The sequence below is a fragment of the Homo sapiens genome, chromosome 9 (assembly GCF_000001405.40).
Source record: "Homo sapiens chromosome 9, GRCh38.p14 Primary Assembly".
In the NCBI taxonomy this organism is placed as follows: Eukaryota; Metazoa; Chordata; class Mammalia; order Primates; family Hominidae; genus Homo; species Homo sapiens.
Window position 1 is genome coordinate 121,461,978 of NC_000009.12, and position 18,823 is coordinate 121,480,800.

An 18,823-nucleotide genomic window follows, 5' to 3' on the forward strand; every position below is an offset into this window, starting at 1 on the left:
CTGTAGCCACCCATTTGAGAAAGTTTCCACACTCATTCATTGTGAAAGTCTCTTCAAGGTGGGGGGTCGGGCACGGTGGCTCACGCCTGTAATCCCAATACTTTGGGAGGCAAAGGCCAGCTGGTCACCTGAGGTCAGGCGTTCAAGACCAGCCTGGCCAACACAGTGAAACCCCATCTCTACCAAAAACACAAAAAATTAGCCGGGCGTGGTGGCAGGTGCCTATAATCCCAGCTACTCAAGAGGCTGAGGCGGGAGGATTGCTTGAACCCAGGAGAAGGAGGTTGCCGTGAGCCAAGATGGCACCACTGCACTCCAGCCTGGGCAACAGAGCAAGACTCCGTCTCAGAAAATTAAAAAAAAATAAAAAGAAAAGAAAGAAAAGAAAAGGTGGGTGCCTTCTGGAGGATGGGGAAAGAGGAAAGTCCGATGGACAAATACGGTGGTGAGCTAACTCATGAACAGGCATAATATTATGAAATCTGTTTTAAAGCCTATTAACTCTTGGAAGTGTTTGAGATGGCTTCCAATACGTAGGTACAATAAACAGAAAAACAACACAAGAATAAAAAACACAAGAGAGAACAGAAAGAGATACATTGATTTCGTCACCCAGGTATATATTTTCACATGACCTCAGTCATCCCAAAGAAAAGTTTCACCTTTACTTTCATTTCAGAGCTGAGATACTGGCTGGGTGGATTTCAGCAAATTTCCAAGGGCACATGACATGTGGGCACAAAAGCCGGGATTTCACACCAGGGGATAAAGTATATCAGAAATGAAGGCTGGGGTAAGTACAAGCAGTTAAGTGCAATACTTTGTTCTGAGCTTTCTGACAACCAACCCAACCATTGGAAATATAAAGGTTTACATGGCTCTCATTTTCTTTTCAAAAAATACAAAAAGAAAATTTTAATGATACACACTAGTTTCTCAAGAGGCTCAAATTTTTTTCCTGATTTTTATTCTTAGAGCAATTTCTTATATGGGTCTTTATATAACATTTAAAGGGCAGAATAATAGACAATATCTCCCCGGATACTTTTTATCAGCAAGACAGGAATGTTCCCCAAATGACACTGCTTAAGAGAACTTTGAGGAGAACTGAGGGCAAGATACAAGCCATGGTTCTATACAGATAAGTCTACGGAAGCTGCAGAAATAACATTCCAGATCCCCAGGAATCCACCCACCCACCCCTCCGACTTTGGCCGAACACCATGGCTGGCTGCCGTGTGAAGAATGGACTGTAGGGGGTGCCAGAGTGGCTGTGGGAAACATCCCCTAGAAATCTAGAATTCAAAGCACTTACTTTGAGTGATATATCCACAAGAAAGAGCCTTCTGTGCTAAAAGCAAAAAAGAAATAAAAACATATCATGTTACTTTTAATTCTGAGAAAGGCGATTTTGTAACCATTATCACTGAGCCCGGGGCTGAGCTAAGAGCCTGGGTTTTAGCTGCTTCCTGGTTTCTACCTTCCTTTGAGACATAACCAATGACATCAGGAGGATGGAAATTTCCACTTCAGGATCTCAAGGGGAAACAGTTTTCTGCAAAATCTCAAATTGTGTGTTTGTGTGTGTGTATTGTAGAGACGGGGTTTTGTCACGTTGCCCAGGCTGGTCTCAAACTCCTGAGTCAAGAGATCCACCCCCGTTGGCCTCCCAAAGTGCTGGGATTACAGGTGTGAGTCATCACTCCTGGCCTCAAATTCTGTTTTGTTTTTGTTTGTTTGTTTGCTCTTTTAAAAAGAAGACAGCTCTCCATTGCAGAGATGGGTCCTCTCCTGCCACCTACTCAGGTGCCTGGTGATGACGAAGGCCCTGAAAGGACGGAAATGCCGTGGCCCAGACATCCTTCCCCCAGGATTTATCTTCCTCCAGAAAAAAAAAGCATCAACTGCAGAGCCTAATGCCATGGCCAACTCAGAGCCTTCTATAGAACAGCCCCCAAAAGCATTTCTTTAACTAATGAAGGCAGTGAGACTCTTAAGCCCCTACAAGTGCTGCAGCCTAGCACGCATAACCCTACCTGGCACTCAGGCCATGGATTTATAGATTCAGGTTCACCAACTTTTCATATCTCCTCAACAACCCTTCTCCTTACCCTCCTCTCCAGAATCCTTCAACAGCACAATGGTCACAGCAATATCCACATTGCAGTGGCTTTTAAACATGTATTCATGCTTTAAGCCTCCACTCAAATGCCACCTTTTCAATGCCTTGCTTGATATGATCCTAGCACAGTGCCTGGTACATAGTGGATACTCAATAAATATTTGTGAATGGATGCAGAACAATGGATCCTCCTCCAAGCCAAACATAATTTTTGCCTCCTTGAGGTTTTTTTTTTTTTTTTTTTTGAGATGGAGTCTTGCTCTGTTGCCCAGGCTAAAGTGCAGTGGCACGATCTTGGCTCACAGCAACCTCTGCCTCCTGGGTTCAAGCAATTCTCCTGCCTAAGCCTCCTGAGTAGCTGGGGCTACAGGCACACACCACCATGCCTGGCTAATTTTTGTATTTTTAGTAGAGACGGGGTTTCACCACGTTGGTCAGGCTGATCTCGAACTCCTGACCTCAAGTGATGTGCCTGCATCAGCCTTCCAAAGTACTGAGACTCCATCTCAAAACAAAAACAAAAACAAAAACAAAACAAAACAAAACAAAAAGAATCGGAGGTAATGCATAGCAAGGGTCCTGGCACATGCCCTCAATAACTTGTAGTTCCCATCATGATCACCACTATCATGAATATTTCATCATAATTTTGAAGGCTTCCTCTAATTCTCTAAAATTCGAAGATTATTTTTTCATCCAGCCTGAAATCAAATGCTATCCTAGATGATATTCTTTCAATACGCTTTACTGACAATTCTTCTATTTACTAATTGGTTGACATGCTTGAGTTAGTTATTTTTAATCCATTTTAGCTTAGTGCTGCCTACCTGTGTAAGGTTTGTGTCCTCGGCTCACCTCAACCTATCATGTGGCCAATTCGTAAAGTGGCAAAAAAACAAAACAAACAAAAAAAAAAAAACAAAAAACAACTCCTCCCCTTGAAGTTTTTTGCAGATGTTCAAGTGGATTCTGCACATCAGAGGATGTTGTGGCCAGAGTCCAGGTGCCAGACGATTAGCCTGAAGAGCAGCCAGAACCTGCTCTGGCTACCATGCAGAGAGAGTGTGCCCAGAGAGGCTGGTATATACATGCACGTTTCAGCCTTTGGCTCAGTTATGCACATACAACTCTGGCTACAATTCCAAACACCAAAGTTATCTGATCAAGTGTTCAAACTCAGAGCTTGAAGGTTATCCAAGCAGACATTCCGACTCCAGGCAGGAACCCCAAAGGGTACTTGTTCTTCTGTTGGACTCTTCCAACTGCTAGAGCTCTTCTATTTACCAAAATCTTTCTTGTTCTGCCCTCTGGAGCAGATCATGATGATGATGACTGTTACGAAGTGAATGTTGTATCTCTTCAAAATTCGTATGTGGAGGCCCTGCCCTCAGTGCGATGATATTTGGAGGTGGGGCTTTTGGGACGTAATTAGGTTTAGATGAGGTCGTGGGAGTAGGACCCCCATGAAGGAATTAGTGTCCTTACAAGAAGAGGAAGAGGCAGTAGCTTACTTGCTCTCCATCACGTGTGGATACAGGGAGGAGGTGGCCATCTGCCAGCCAGGAAGAGCCCTCACTGGGGATCTTGGACTCCCCAGCCTCTAGAACTGAAAGAATTAAATTCCTGTTGCTTAAACCACCTTGTGGTACTTTGTTATAGTGGCCTGAACTAAAATGATGATGAGGAAGAGGAGGAGGAGGATGACAGCTAGCATTTATTGTTTATTAAGCCCTAGGCATTGCTTCCCAGTGCTTTATACACAATAACTTATTTAATTCTCCCAACAACCCTATGAGGCAGGTACTATTATAATCCCTCCCCCAACTTTTTTTTTGAGACAGTGCCTTACTCTGTCACCCAGGCTGGAGTGCAGTGGCAGGACCACAGCTCACTGCAGCCTCAACCTCTCAGGCTCAAGTGATCCTCCCACCTCAGCGTCGTAAGTAGCTGAGACTACAGGTGCGCACCACCATGCCTGGCTAACTTTTTAATTTTACTTTTGTAGAGACAGGGTCTTGCGATTTTGCCAGGGCTGGTCTTGAACTCCTGGGTTCAAGCAATCTGTCCTCCTTGGCCTCCCAAAGTGTTGGGATTACAGGTGTGAGCCACCATGCCCAGCCTATTATCCCCAATTTTTAAAGATAGGGAAACTAAACAAGAACAGAGTGGCTGAGCAACTTGCCCAAGGAGCAGCCTAGCTCTAGAGTCTGAGTGGGAAACGTCCTCAGCCCTCAGTTGCCTAAGAGAGTTCCAGGGTCCCCACACAAAACTCTGAGTCATCTCTTCTTTGAACTAAATCCCCTCAGTTTTCTCAATTCAAAAGACCTAGTTTCCAGACCCTTTTAACTTGGTCACACTCTAGTTTGTCATGTTTTTCTTAAAATGAGTTGTGCAGAATGAAACAAAGCAACATTCCAGAAATGGTTACATCTGTGCAGCACCACAGGGACTAATGGCTCCAGCATTCGGAGAGTTCTTCTGCTACTGATGCACCTAAAGGCACGGTTCCATTTTTAGTAACCAAGACAGTCCTCCTAGATCATCAAATCTTAGAATTTAAGAATCAAAAGAGGCCGGGCATGGTGGCTCACGCCTGTAATCCCAGCACTTTGGGAGGCCGAGGCAGGTGGATCATTTGAGGTCAGGAGTTCAAGACCAGCCTGGCCAACATGGTGAAACCCTGTCTCCACTAAAAATACAAAAATTAGCTGGGCGTGGTAATACACGCCTGTAATCACAGCTACTCAGGAGGCTGAGGCAGGAGAATTGCTTGAACCTGGAAGGCAGATGTTGCAGTGAGTCGAGATCATGCCACTGTGTTCCAGCCTAGGTGACAAGAGAGAGACTCTGTCTCAAAAAAAAAAAAAAAAAAGAATCAAAAGAGATATTCGAATGTTAATCCAGGCTACCATCTTGAACTTGGGGGCCACTGAAACACTCCGCTATGAAAATATTAATGGTACCAAAATAGCTCTGTACAACTCAATTGTACAGTAGATTTTTTGAACCTTAAGGCTGAGCTTTTCCAGTCTTTTGAGTCAAAGGCATCAGGCATTTCTGTGGCTGCTTGTGAAGACTTCAGTCAGAAGCCTCTCCAGCTGGAATGGCCAGGCATTGTAGTTTCAAAAGGCACAGAGGTAGCTCATATATTTGGGGTGAATCCATAGATGAATTTGAAAACTTAGAAATGCTTAATTCATTTTGCTTTTCAAAGTTAAACACACACACACACCCACACACACTCTCTCTCTCTCTCAAAGATTTTAGCCAGGCACAAATGAATCACTAGCAATTCAGTATGTATTTTGCAGCAAAATTCAACAACTTAAGTTGCTCCTTTAAACTCTGCAAATATTTCAGGATTTCAAAATTCAGGGTGGATTTCTCATGGAATTCCTGTCTGAAATTTCTTAAGGTAATTTCCATATTTGATTATCCAAGTTATTTAAAATTACATTGGGCCTAATTTGATCTCATTTTCTCTGGATCTAGCCTACTGTTACAAAAATTATGATATTAGGAACAAGGCAGGAAGGAAGATAAGTAGTTAGCCAGAAGTCACTTGGGAGAGCTAATGATTTTAAAGACAGTCCAGGGCTTAGGAATTCAGGAAGGGTGGAATCCCTTATTTATGGTTTTAGTTAATCCTAATTTCAATTCAGCCTGGCAACTTGGATGATACTAGTAGGATAGAATCAAAGCAGTATTTTCATCCACATCACTTCATCATGTTTCATAATTACCTGTTGATAAATTCCCAAAACACAATGATCACAGTTGAGACAACCAGCATTGACAGAATTACTTTTCCTTTGACATTCATTATTTTCTCCTAGGAAAAAAGAAGAGGGGAGAAAAAAAGAGAACAGATTAAATCAATGAACTTCAAGAGGCAGTTTTTAAAAAATGCTTTTACCCCGTTCTTTTTTAAAATTACTACTATACTTTAAGTTCTGGGATACATGTGCAGAACGTGCAGGTTTGTTACATAGGTATACACGTGCCATGGTGGTGCACCCAGCAACCCATCATCTACATTAGGTATTTCTCCTAATGATATCCCTCCCCTAGCCCCCCATCCCCTGACAGGCCCCGGTGTGCGATGTTCCCCTCCCTGTGTCCAGGTGTTCTCATAGTTCACCTCCCACTTACGAGTGAGAACATGCGGTGTTTGGTTTTCTGTTCCTGTGTTAGTTTGCTGAGAATGATGGTTTCCAGCTTCATCCATGTCCCAGCAAAGGACATGAACTCATCCTTTTTTATGGCTGCATAGTATTCTATGGTGTATATGTGCCACATTTTCTTTATCCAGTCTATCATTGATGGGCATTTGGGTTGATTTCAAGTCTTTGCTATAGTGAATAGTGCTGCAATAAACACATGTGTGCATGTATCTTTATAATAGAATGATTTATAATCCTTTAGGTATATACCCAGTAATAGGATTGCTAAGTCAACTGGTATTTCTGGTTCTAGATCCCTGAGGAATCGCCACACTGTCTTCCACAATGGTTGAACTAATTTACATGCCCACCTAATTCTTTCTAAAAGGATACATTTAGGATGATCTAACTAGAGCTGAGGAGTCTGTTCTACCTTAAATTGCATAGACCTGCAGTGGCAGATCATGCCAATTTGGTTAATAGAGGAGGCTGCCTCCATTGGCAAGGGTGCTAAGGCCACACTGGGGCTCAGAGGGGAGGTATCCCTATCTGCCATGGATGTAGGAGACAATGGAAGTAGCTGTACATGGTTCCCAGGGACTCCAGTTGCCTCCCAAGTCTGATCGCCCCACCTTTTATCTCGTGACTGTGAGGAGCCACCCCATCCCCAACCTCCATGCCCTTGGTATAGTGATAACACATTCCCTTGCTCAGAGGAGAAAATGACCCTGGGTTTACAAGCTAGGCCCCATCCACTTCCCAGCTACCCCCAGCGTAGCCTCATCACACTCACAGGCAAGCAAAAAAAATGGTACACAGCAGGTGCATAGATATTCCCTGATCGCTGCGTGAAACTGCTTAAAAAAGCAGGGGTGCTGTGTGAAGAATAACAGGCCAGGAAGTACTTTAATGTGGGTGATCAGGGAAGGCTCACTGTGTAGGTAAAAGTAAAGTCGAGTCCCAAGGGATAAAGAGGGATGGAAAAGGATGAAAAGCACCATAAGAAGGAATGAGACTATTTTGGGAGCAGCATATGTAACAGGCTGACAGGTGAAAAAACTTCTTGTATTTAAACAGACAGCATTAAAGAAGAAAAATACTGTCACCTCAGCATGGCTGGATCCAAGGAGGGGTGCTAGTTGGCAACAGGATGGCGGACAGGGCAAATAGACGATGAAAGGCATGGGAGGGAGGAAAGGGAGCCACAAGCACCTTGGAAGCCAGAGAATAACCAGATTTAACTTCATGCAGAGATGCCTGCCTGTGTGCTGGGGTGTGGAGGGTAGATCAGAGCTGACAGCAGCGTGGAGAATGAGGTGGCAGACTACTCTGATGGCCAAAACGAAGGGGTGGCTGTATTGCATACATGTTTTTTTCTTGGCTATATGTTATGATGTTTTCACATCTTCAAAAACCTCTCTGGCTGAGGAGATAATGTCCTCTTCTATGACTAGCCAGTTCTTAGAGATAGCCAGGGCTCAGCTAGAAGCATGCCTTTGATATACAAATGAACCAATCCTGAGCTGTAGATCTTCACCTGCCCTGCACACCCCAGGAGGCAATATGACTTGGCCTTAAGCATCCCATCAGGGCCAGGTACGGGACAACTAGGGGCCATCCCTACAGCCTAAAGCCCTCTGAAATTACTCAAACTAGTCCATCCTAAACTGTTCACCCTGCACTGTCTTTCCCATGGAAACCTCAATAAGGGCTCTGGCCTCAGTCTTCCCCTTGCTGCCTGTCTTCTGTCTCCTGACCACCCTTGTGTCTTTCCCATGTGGTCCCATGTGGTCCCATATGGTGTGCTATGCCTCCTGTCTTTGGGACCCGTGAGCATAATAAACATTGTTTTTTCCTGAGCTTTTCCTGTGTCTCCTCTTGTGATCACACTGGACTGACCATCACATAAAAGAATACATAACAGTGGCCTGTGTTAAAAAGTAGGTAGAGAGATGGAAAGTGGTAGATTAATCAAAATATACCTTGGCAAGAGAATTGATAGGATTTGGCTGGTCATGTAGGTGTCAGGGACAAGGGAGAAGAAAGAAACAAGGTTTCTGTCTAAGCAGTCAGGTGGACAATTGTAGCATTTTCTGAGATGTGTTGGATGGAAGAGGAATTGGTTTGAGGGGTAAGAATCATGAGTTCCCACTTGAATATGTTAATTTTGAGGTGTCTACACACTCCTAAATGGAGATGACAAGAGGCAAACAGACATTCAAGTCTGAAGTTCAACAGAGATATGGGCTAGACATGCAGTTGGAAGAGTTGTTCACATATGGAAGGTAGTTAATGTGAAGGAAATGAATGAGGCTGTAACTGTCTTTGCAAAATTATAACTAAATAAATTATGACAGTGAAAGACATCAGACCTAACCAATTCCATCTTGCTCCTAACCTCTAACCTGTCATCCATTCCTGGGCGTAGGCTTAATTAGCCTTGGGAAGGAATTTAGTTTATAGTTTAAATAATAGCCCTTCCCAAAAGCTAAACTGTTCTTGTAAAATGAATGAAGGCCACCAGCCACCAAGTTAGAATGAGAGGGGCTGGAATTCTAAATATTACCAGCCATTATTCTGGAGGTCATAAGATTTTCAGGGAGACTGATTTGAGTAATAATAAAACTTCAGTCTCCCGCATAGCGGGCTCTGTGTGAATTACTCTTTTCTCCTTTGCAATTCCCCTGTCTTGATAAATCAGCTCTGTCTAGGCAGCGGGCAAGGTGAACCCCTTGGGCGGTTACAAGGTTACCTTGTGAGAGAATGTAGAGAGAGGAAAAGGAAAGAAGCCGGCCCTGGGCTGAAGCCTGAAAATGTCAACATTTTGAAGTAGGATTGAGAAGAAACCCGGGAGGGAGGAAGAAAACCAAGACTGTGGACCTCTGGAAGCTAAGAGGAGACAGTGGCCAGCCACACACCAAATGTCATTGCTTTGTGAAACCACATCCCACCCCTGCCCACCCAGCAGCTGAGTCCCCCTTCTCTTCTTGGGCTCCCCCTGTCTATTCACGTTGCTGTACATGTTGTTTTTGGAGGTGGCTCTGCCTCCGGTATCAGTTAGTCTGTGAGCTTCCTGAGTGCAGGAGGTGTGTTTTATTCAACCCTGAATCCCCAGTGCCTCACATAGAGTACACGAGGCACTCCATTAATGTTTGCTGAGTGAATGAAATCAAATAAGAATGATACTTAAATTTGTTCTCTGGACACAGGTCATTTTCCAATTCTTTTCAAAGAGATTTCTTAGATGATTCCAGACTCAGATCTCATATCTTACAAACCCTTTATTATGAAATCCAGTTAAAGAAGAGAAAGAGTGGGATCTTCAGAAAGTGAGCTCTGTTTGGAAACAAAAAAGCTGGGCTGAATTCAATGTTATAACCCAACTTCCAGCTTTCCACACAACTGTGATGGGCAGTATTCCACAGACCCTGAGATGACGAGTTTGCTGGGTAAAGATAGTCTCAGGCCTCTTCCCTCTAAGTACCATATGAGCCAGCACATACAGCCCCAGACCCGTGGCAAAGTCAGAAAAGGCAGATGGCTGCAGGCAACTCATCCCCCACTGCTGAGAAAAGTCACTAGAGTCTGCATCCGAAGCACCAGCATTGAGTGCTGGAAAAGTCTTAGTTTCGGGTGCAAAAACCTAAGGCTGTGGCCACCTCTCTGTGCCGATGTCCTCACTTCCAGAGAAGTGGGGATGGTGGTAGCCACAGGCTTTGGAGTGATGTGGGGATGTGAGTCTCAACTTTGACAAATGAAGCTGGGTAACCCTGAGCAGTGGCCCTCATCAACAACTCCAGAAAGCTCTGAAAACCCAACACCTTTTTGTAATTCAATTGGCATCAAGGCCCTAACTGACATGAGGCCATTTATAATCTTTATCCCACTGAGTGAGGCTGTTTAAACATTTCTATGCATAAATATTGATGTATTTTATTATGTGGTGCTGCTGCACCAGGAATGTTATATATGATACATAATCCATGTCCAAAAAATTCTGAATTCCAACACATCTGGCCCCAGGGTTTCAGATAAGGGATTGTGGACCTCTACTGGATCACATTAAATTAATAGTGATGATTACAAGAGATAATGTTGCCCATAAAATATTTAGCACTGTGCCTGGCATCGTATAAATGCAGAAGAAAAAAAAAAGTCCACTAGTTCTTATTACTGATAGCCATAAAACAGGCTGTTGGGAGGATGCAATGAGATAGCACAGTGCCTGGTATTTAGCAAGTGCTCAAAACAGATTTGAAGGAAAGAAAGGAGGGATTTGGAATAAGAACATGTTATACAATGAAGTGCAAATAAATGCAAATGAAGGACTCTAAAGGTTTACCCATCTGTTCTGTGTCATAGCCTGATTAAGGATGCCTCAGAAGTGGGATGTGACTTTGATTCTCTTTGATCAAGCCTCAGGCGCTGCTACAACCCCCTATGTGTGCCGAGGAGGCAACAGAGAGGCTGGCTGTGTGTCCCAAGCCTTGCCAACCCCACCTGCTGAGGATCAAATGCAAATTGTAAGGAACGTTAGGCAGAGAAAGGTGAAAACTCTCACGGTTGGAAACATTGGCGCTTACATCAGGGATAGCCCGAATCAGACATACCTCCAAATCCCCGCTCCAAATACAGAGATGTTTATGATTTTTTTTTATTCCAAAAATTAGCATCAGAAGCAACTCTTGAAGCCCACTTCTTTCTGGAGCTTATCTATGGCTTGAATCTGCCTGCTTTTTTGCTGTGGTCAATCGTTACTCTTGTTTAAGACTTACAATTGGATGACCGGGTGCAAACCTGTAATCTCAGCACTTTGGGAGGCTGAGGTGGGCGGATCACTTGAGGTCAGGAGTTCGAGACCAGCCTGGCCAACATGGCAAAACCCCTTCTCTACTAAAAATACAAAAATTAGCTGGGTGTTGCGGCACATGCCTGTAATACCGGCTACTTGGGAGGCTGAGGCAGGAGAATCACTTGAACCCGGGAGGCAGAGGCTGCAGTGAGCAAAGATCATGCCACTGCACTCCGGCCTAGGTGACAGAGCAAGACTCCATCTCAAAAAAAAAAAAAAAAAAAGACTTAGAATTGGAAGCCGTCCGAACGAGCCAATTTTGCATCCTTCAGCAAAGCACTACAAATAGGCGGTGACATGCTTCCTGGAATCTGGAATCCAAGCCTCCAGGGAGGAAAGGTTGGCAGGGTGGCCAATGGGTCTTTTAAAACATTTTTATTTTTCTCTCTGGACAAAAAAATGAGGCATTTGGCAGCCATTGTGGTCTAAAAGTTCTTCCCTTGTGTGTTTGTCTCTCTGAATTTTCAACTGTGTAATTCTGAAGACTGGTGGTTCACTGTCCTACCCACCAGTAAGAAACATGGGTTTGGGCCAGGCACAGTAGCTCATGCTTGTAATCCCAGCACTTTGGGAGGCCAAGATGGGCAGATTGCTTGAGCCCAGGAGTTCGAGACCAGCCTGGGCAACATGGGGAAACCCCCTCTCTACAAAAAGTAGCTGGGTGTGATGGTGCATACCTGTAGTCCCAGCTATTGGGGAAGCTGAGGTAGGAGGATCACTAGAGCTTGGGAAGGTCCAGGCTGCAGTGAGCCGTGATCAAGCCACTGCACTGCAGCCTGGGCGACAGAGTGAGATCCTGCAAGAAAGAAAGAGAGAAAGAGAGAAGGAGAGAGAGAGAGAGAGAGGGAGGGAGGGAGGGAGAGAGAGAGAGAGAGAAAAGAAAGAAAGAAAGAAACAAGGAAAGAAAGAAAAGAAAGGAAAGAAAGAAAGAAAAGAAAAGAAAGTTCTAAAATTCTCCTTTCAAGGGGTGGAGCACAGAATTAGGACCTTCCAAGTATTAACACCCTGTCTTAAGTGGGAGAGTGGAACCCTGATGTCCCCTGGGTCCCACCCCTCAGAGGACTGGGTGAACTTGGCCAGCCCCAGTTGCACAGCCTGCAATGGTCCAGAGCCCTCCTGCCATCTCTCAGACCCTCTGCCTTAATACTCTTATACTTTCTCTCTGAATCCATCCTATGGCCCCAGACCATTTGTAGAACTCAGTTAACCAGAACTCAGCGCCTGCACTGCTTCCCAAATGCAAGCACTCTCACCCCCATTCCTGGAACGTGTGCAGATTATGCTAAAAATATAGAGGCATTTTGCAAGGCAGGGTCACATTGTACAGCCTGTCATTTCTCCACCTTCCTCACTCTACCCTCACCCTCCTCCTTTTCCGCTTCTGTTTCCTTGTAGTGTCAGACAGACTTTTCCATATGGCCTATAAGTGAATTCTTCCCTACCACCCACCTCCAATCCTTCTCACACAGAACAACACACACACCCTCTGAGAATCTCACAGTTCCACCCCAACAGGGCGAAGTCAAGGTAATTCGTTCCAAACAGAATTCCACTCTGAAAGGAATTCTAGCAGATCCTATCTTCTCCATCTCGTGCCAGGGGAAAAGGTGAACCTCTCAGCTGAATGCCATGCACTCAGATGCCATGGAAAAGCCATTATCTCAGAGAGCAGGAATCCGGCAGGGTGAAAGTGGTGGCAGGAGAAACCAAGCCTTCTCCGCAGGCTAAAGAATTCTCCTCCCAGCCTGAGATTCCTACATCAGGCCCCTAGAGCCCACCCGTCCTCCGCTTGAGCCTTAATCACTTTCAGGCTATTGTGATGGGTCCAGACTGGCACAGGCCCTGGCTCCCAGTAGGAGCATCCCAAGTGTCAGAGCCGTTTGAACCACAGCAACTCCATCTTGAATGGGAGCTGGGTAAAATAAGGCTGAGACCCACTGGGCTGCATTCCCAGATGGTTAAGGCATTCTAAGTCACAGGATGAAACCGGAAACCAGCACAAGATACATGTCATAAAGACCTTGCTGGTAAAACAGTTTGCGGTAAAGAAGCCGGCTGAAACCCACCAAACCAAGATGGCGATGAGAGTGACCTCTGGTCCTCCTCACTGCTACACTCCCACCAGCACCATGACAGTTTACAAATACCATGGCAATGTCAGGAAGTTACCCTATATGGTCTAAAAAGGGGAGCCATGAATAATCCACCCCTTGTTTAGCATGTCATCAAGAAATAACCATAAAAATGGGCAACCAGCAGTCCTCAGGGCTGCTCTGCCTATGGAGCAGCCATTCTTTTATTCCTCTACTCTCCTAATAAACTTGCTTTCACTTTACAGATTCACCCTCAATTCTTTCTTGAGTGAAATCCAAGAACCCTCTCTTGGGGTCTGGATCCAGACCCCCTTCCTGTAACACAAGTGTTTGGGGTGAACAAATGAGTAAGGAGAGTTCTGAGGCACTCCAGTTCTGCTCTGCCATGGATTCATTAACAAACATGGACTAGGCTACTGTGCTCCAGATGGTTTTTGGAACTGGAGATGCTTTACTGAACAAGATTATCATAGAGCTTCTGTTCCAATGGGAGTCAAGAGACTCAACAGGATATATAATGTCAGGTAGTGACAGTGAACAAAGAGAAGGAAAACAGGTAAGGGAATGGGGAAGGGTGCAGTAATTAACTGGGTATTACTGACCTTGGACAAGACTCTAGTCTTAAGTCCTCCAGATCCTTGATTATAAAGGAGAGTGTTCAGCTCCAGCATTCCAGGTAAAAATTAGGCTAAGAGCAAAGACTCTTAAATCAGCAGAGTCCTAGATGTACACCTTAGGCCACTTACTTTAACACTCTGAGCCTCTATTTACATATACAAAATGGAGATTCTAACACCCTCCTCAAAGGGTTCTTGAAAGCATACTGTGCCCATGGTCTGTTAATGCCCCCCACACAGTACCTATAATAATGATGATGCTTTTTAATGGGAGAAATTCAGAAATGCATGGCTCAGAGCTTGGTGTGAAAGCAGGGCTGTGAGTTCATCTGAGAGGGGAATCTTGATGGGCAGCATCTCTCAGAACAGTCAGGAGCGAGTCCACACGCCAACTGCATGTTGTGATAAAGTCAGCTCCATGCCCTGCTCTATCCCAGGAACACGGCTCTGACCAGACCAGCTGCACCTCCATTTGCACCCCACCCCACCTCCTTGCTCCACCCCTGCCTCACCCTGTCCCCAGCCTTGTCATAGTCCTGCAGGTCAGCCCCAGCACCAACACAGTGCCAGCTTTCTAAACTGGCGTCACGAGTTTCTCTGGCCTCAGACTCCTTGGCCCAGAAACAAGTCCTTTGGAGCTAAGATTCCCCAGTAATCCCCAGTTCTTCTCTGATGAACCCAGGATGTGCATGAGAAATCAGCCTCAGGGATGTAAACCTCATTTTTTGAGGGCAGTTCTTTTAGCCACATAGAGCTCACCCTGCTGCAGTGACCTACACGGGCCCCTTGGTGTGATGATCAAATGATAGGATTCATCAACTATCACTTCTCAGCCTTTTGGCTCAGATCATGCATAGGAACCACCAACCAATATGCGCTGAATGCAGAGGCTGACTTACCAGGAGCTAATGACGCTTAGGTGTCAGGGTCCTCATGTGCACAAGCCCCTTTGCAAGACTGGGCCTGATTTCCCATTAGGGTGAGCATGAGAAAGCCCCAAATGCTTCCCAGAGGTAGAGTGTTGCCTTGCCTGGGAGAGTCACTCTCTAGCCTCAGTGCCTGTCCAGGGGCTGCAGGCTGAGCTGGGGTGCTGACCCATTACCTGCACACCCACCTAGGTCCCAGAAACAACCGGTCCCAGGTGGACCTTGTTGAGCACCTGGGCCCCTCCTCCTTTGGCCTCAAGAAGAAGGAGATGAACTACACACTACTCTCTCTGCTCCCTGCTCAGGGGTCACTATGATCCAGGTCTCACAGCCACCTCGTGCTCCACCCAGGTTCGTCTGCCTCACTGTGCCTAGCAAGGATCCAGGGCTGAGTTTTCTCATGATCTGGCTGGAGCCACCTGAGAAACTGTCAAATGACTTAGAGAAGTGGCATCGCCAATAACAAATTGGGAAGCTAAAATAAATTGCTCTAAACTCTCAGTAATAAAAAGCACCCATTGATTAACCATGCCACAGGCAAAACTGATTTATCTGTCTTTTCTCTTTTATTGGAAATGATTCTAGAAAACTGTTGTCAGATAATGTGGCAGTCAAAGAGTATGTAGCCCAAACATGACAGGTGTATCAGACAGTTAAGTAATACTAATCATTTTTGTATTAGTTTTACATCATTTTCTTATGTCGTTGTTTTCTGGATTTTGTTATATTTGGAATGTTTGTCAGTCTTTGTTATTTGTTGTGATATCACTTCTCATATTCCAGATACTTACTTTCATACCTAACATTGCATTTGCAACCTTGCTTTTTTTTTTTTTTTTTTTTGAGACGGAGTCTTGCTCTGTCACCCAGGCTGGAGTGCAGTGGCACAATCCCAGCTCACTGCAAGCTCCGCCTCCCAGGTTCATGCCATTCTCCTGCCTCAGCCACCCGAGTAGCTGGGACTACAGGCACCCGCCACCACGCCCAGCTAATTTTTTTTTTAATTTTTAGTAGAGACGGGGTTTCACCATGTTGGCCATGATGGTCTCGATTTCCTGACCTCGTGATCTGCTCGCCTCAGCCTCCCAAAGTGCTGGGATTTACAGGCATGAACCACCACGGCCAGCCCATTCTTCTTCTTAAAGAGGGCTCCCCAAATGGAATCAGCTTCAAACCCTGCAACACCTGTATTTTCCCCAGTCAAGCCAGGCCAGGCCAGACCCTGGGCTAAACCCCTTTTCAGGAGTCTCTTAGTTAAGCCCCATGACAACCCAGTGAAGTTACTCTATTATTATCCCCATTTCACAGATATGAAAACAGAGGCTCAGAAAGGTGAAGTAACTTGCCTAGTGTCACATAGCATAAGGTGGTGGAGTTGGGGTTCAAATCCAGGGAGCCAGGCTCTAGTGCCCTCTCTTTTAACCACTCTGTTGCTCTAGAAAACATGAAGTCTTCTGCATGGGTTAATTGCTGTGGGGCCAGCTCTTCCTTGGACCAGCTGGTGAGCATCAGCTCAACTCTCCTAGCATTTCCAGGCACCTTCTGTGTGCGTGTTGTGGGGTGTCCTCACTCACAGCATCTTGTTTATTCCTCACAATGGTCAGTGCGGTGGCCTTAGTGTGGCTTTTTTAGCTGAGGAAACTGAGCTTTAGCAAAGGGGCATAGCTTGCCAGAGATCACTGGGCATGCCCAGAAGTCTTGGTGCCAGATTTAAAATGCCTGCCTCCCAGGCCCAGCCCTTGGCATAGGGATGGTGCTGGGTGTAAGGAGGAAGAGTGCCTTATTATCCTAAAACCTCAGTGAGCTGGTGGGTCTTACAAGGAAATGCTTCCACGATACAATTCACGGGGAAGCAGGGGAAGTGCATGGAAGGTTGTCTCCAGTTTTGTTTTTCATTATAAGGGTCAGAGTAAACAGACACAAGAAAATAAGAGACAGGTCTCAGACTGAATACATGGCCCACTGTCGCTCCAGCCATCTCAAATGGAACGACCTGTTCTCTGAAGTATATCTTACAGTGCTTTCTCTCGAATCCCCTTTGGGAAATCTAAAGGCTGAATCCAGCCAGCTTTTCCATGCTGCCTGGTCTGGAAATCACTGCAAGGGTTTTTCCCAGAGAACCAAAGTAAGATAAATGAAAGATGCTACACAATTCTGAGAGGGCTCTGCCTCCATCCATAACTTCACCCTGAGCCCCAAGACTTGCCCCCTGCTCCTGCATTAACAACTTAAATCCTTCAGGAAAAACTCCAGGCTGCAGCTTGGCTGCAGCCCTGTGAGGTCCTACCAGGGGAGCAAAATAAAGCTGAACTTACAGTGAAGTCCCTGAGCCGGCATCCTTCTTCCAGGTCCACTGCTGGAGAGACAAGGACTTGGTCCTCTTCCAAAACTACTGAGGGGGCCACCGAGAGTTTAGGGCGATCCACCCGTGACCCCAGCATGGCAGAAGCAAATCATTTCACCATCTCACATACCTCCTGCCGCTTTCACCCCAGAGTAAAAGGCAAAACAACAAAGTTCTTTTGAGCTCCCTTCTGCAGAAGGAGGCAGGACTCAGAGAAAGGGAAGGTGCTGGTTTCAACTCCTGTCGAAAGAATAAACAGCTGTTTCAGGAGATGGGGAGTAGACAGAGCCCTCAGCAGCCAGGGGCTTTGTTCCTTGCAGGCCTTTGGGAAACGAGCTGTTTATCAGGCCTGTTGACTCAGAGCTGTGTGCCAAGGCAGAAATGTTCCTCTCTGGATCCATGAGCGGCCCAGCCTCCTTGCCAAGCAAAACCATGGTCCAAACTGGGCCTAGTATGGGAGGAGGAAAGGCCACCACCCACCCTTGAGAGGGACACCAAGGGGGCCCACATCACACACTACTGGATAAAAATGGAAACCATTCTGGACCCAAACAACTTCAAGTGACTGCTCCTAGGACCAGCCACCAGCCAATGGAGACGTTAAAACACACACACAAACACACACACACCACAGAGGAGTGGACAAAGGGCTATCTTGAGAGTCCTCAAGACTGGTGGAAATTCTACCTAAATGTTCCTCAAAGTTAAGTCCTTCCTCTACATCTTTTAGGCTTCAGAAGTCGCTGTTTGGTTTGAACACTACATTTTTATAGAATGTTACGGGATCTCCCACAGCACAAAGCACACTACAAGAACTTTAAAAGGTCACCAAGGCTCAACTCCGCTCTCTGGCTGAATAATGCTTAACCCTTCCCATACCCACCTCCTGCTCCCAAAATAGAATCTTGCAGCTGGAAGGGACCTAGGGGCAGTGGATTTTCTTTCTTTCTTTTTTTCTTTTCTTTTCTTTTTTTTTTTTGAGATGGAGTCTCACTCTGTCGCCCAGGGCGGAGTACAGTGGCGTGATCTCGGCTCACTGCAAGCTCCGCCTCCCGGGTTCAAGTGATTCTCCTGCCTCAGCCTCCCGAGTAGCTGGGACTACAGGCACATGCCACCACGCCCAGCTGATTTTTTTGTATTTTTAGTAGAGATAGGGTTTCACCACGTTGGCCAGGATGGTCTCGATCTCTTGACCTCGTGATCCGCCCGCCTCAGCCTCCCAAAGTGCTGGGATTACAGGTGTGAGCCACCATGCCCGGTGGGCAGTAGATTTTCCAATGTCGAAACAGCTAAAACTTTTTCAAAAAGCAAACAAAATCATTCTCAGAATCCCCACGACCTGAAACAGAGCACACGGAGTCCTTTGGCTAAAGCAGGGAAATGATGCTCAAAGCCCCTTCCTCATCCTCCCACGTGGCTGAGACATCTCCAGGGAGTACAGTCTGGAAACCCCAGACTAAAGACAGGGGACCAAAGCCAGACAGGAAGGAATCAAGGACTGGCCCCCCGGTCGCTCAGTAGTGCCTAATCCAGCCTCTTCCTCCCGTTCCCCAGAAGGAAATTTCACAGCTTCCGCCTCTTAAGGGGATGAGTTATTTGGCCACAACCTTTAGGGTCCAGAAGTCTTCCTAATACCTTGCTTAAATCCTTCCTGTGGCTAACTATTTAAGCCAAACAGATGCCCACCTGCCTATCCTATTGTTCTG

The 18,823-nt window shown here is 45.8% G+C and overlaps 1 protein-coding gene and 1 long non-coding RNA gene across 12 annotated transcripts in view, besides 1 other annotated feature; one reads left to right on the top strand and one right to left on the bottom strand.

The window, feature by feature from the left end:
* LOC102723324 (uncharacterized) overlaps positions 1–1,394 on the top strand; it is a 93,479-nt gene extending 92,085 nt beyond the window's left edge. For 2 of the 5 annotated variants that reach the window (NR_187159.1, NR_187153.1), the window contains 2 exons: positions 680–793; positions 1,056–1,394. This is a non-coding gene — a long non-coding RNA (uncharacterized LOC102723324). Of the gene's footprint in view, positions 1–679; positions 794–1,013 lie in introns of all 5 variants that reach the window. The other 3 variants (NR_187160.1, NR_187158.1, NR_187154.1) reach the window with 3 other exon arrangements.
* Positions 1–18,823, bottom strand: part of GGTA1 (glycoprotein alpha-galactosyltransferase 1 (inactive)) — a 54,855-nt gene that overhangs the window by 16,988 nt on the left and 19,044 nt on the right. For 3 of the 7 annotated variants that reach the window (NR_168459.1, NR_168460.1, NM_001382584.1), the window contains exons 2-4: positions 17,089–17,357; positions 5,866–5,954; positions 1,316–1,351 (exon numbers count right to left, since the gene is read on the bottom strand). Coding sequence is in view for 4 of the 7 variants with exons in the window: in NM_001382584.1 (NP_001369513.1) it covers positions 1,316–1,351; positions 5,866–5,945 (116 nt within the window). In the remaining 3 variants the exon portion in view is untranslated. Of the gene's footprint in view, positions 1–1,315; positions 1,352–5,865; positions 5,955–6,274; positions 6,490–17,088; positions 17,358–18,823 lie in introns of all 7 variants that reach the window. The other 4 variants (NR_168461.1, NM_001382585.1, NM_001382587.1 and 1 more) reach the window with 2 other exon arrangements.
* Positions 10,346–10,908: an enhancer, noted in NCBI's record as "NANOG hESC enhancer chr9:124234601-124235163 (GRCh37/hg19 assembly coordinates)". NCBI's record gives its function as "activates a minimal SCP1, AML or CMV promoter by ChIP-STARR-seq in naive and primed H9 embryonic stem cells {active_cell/tissue: H9 hESC(naive and primed)}" and the evidence as "EXISTENCE:reporter gene assay evidence [ECO:0000049][PMID:30033119]".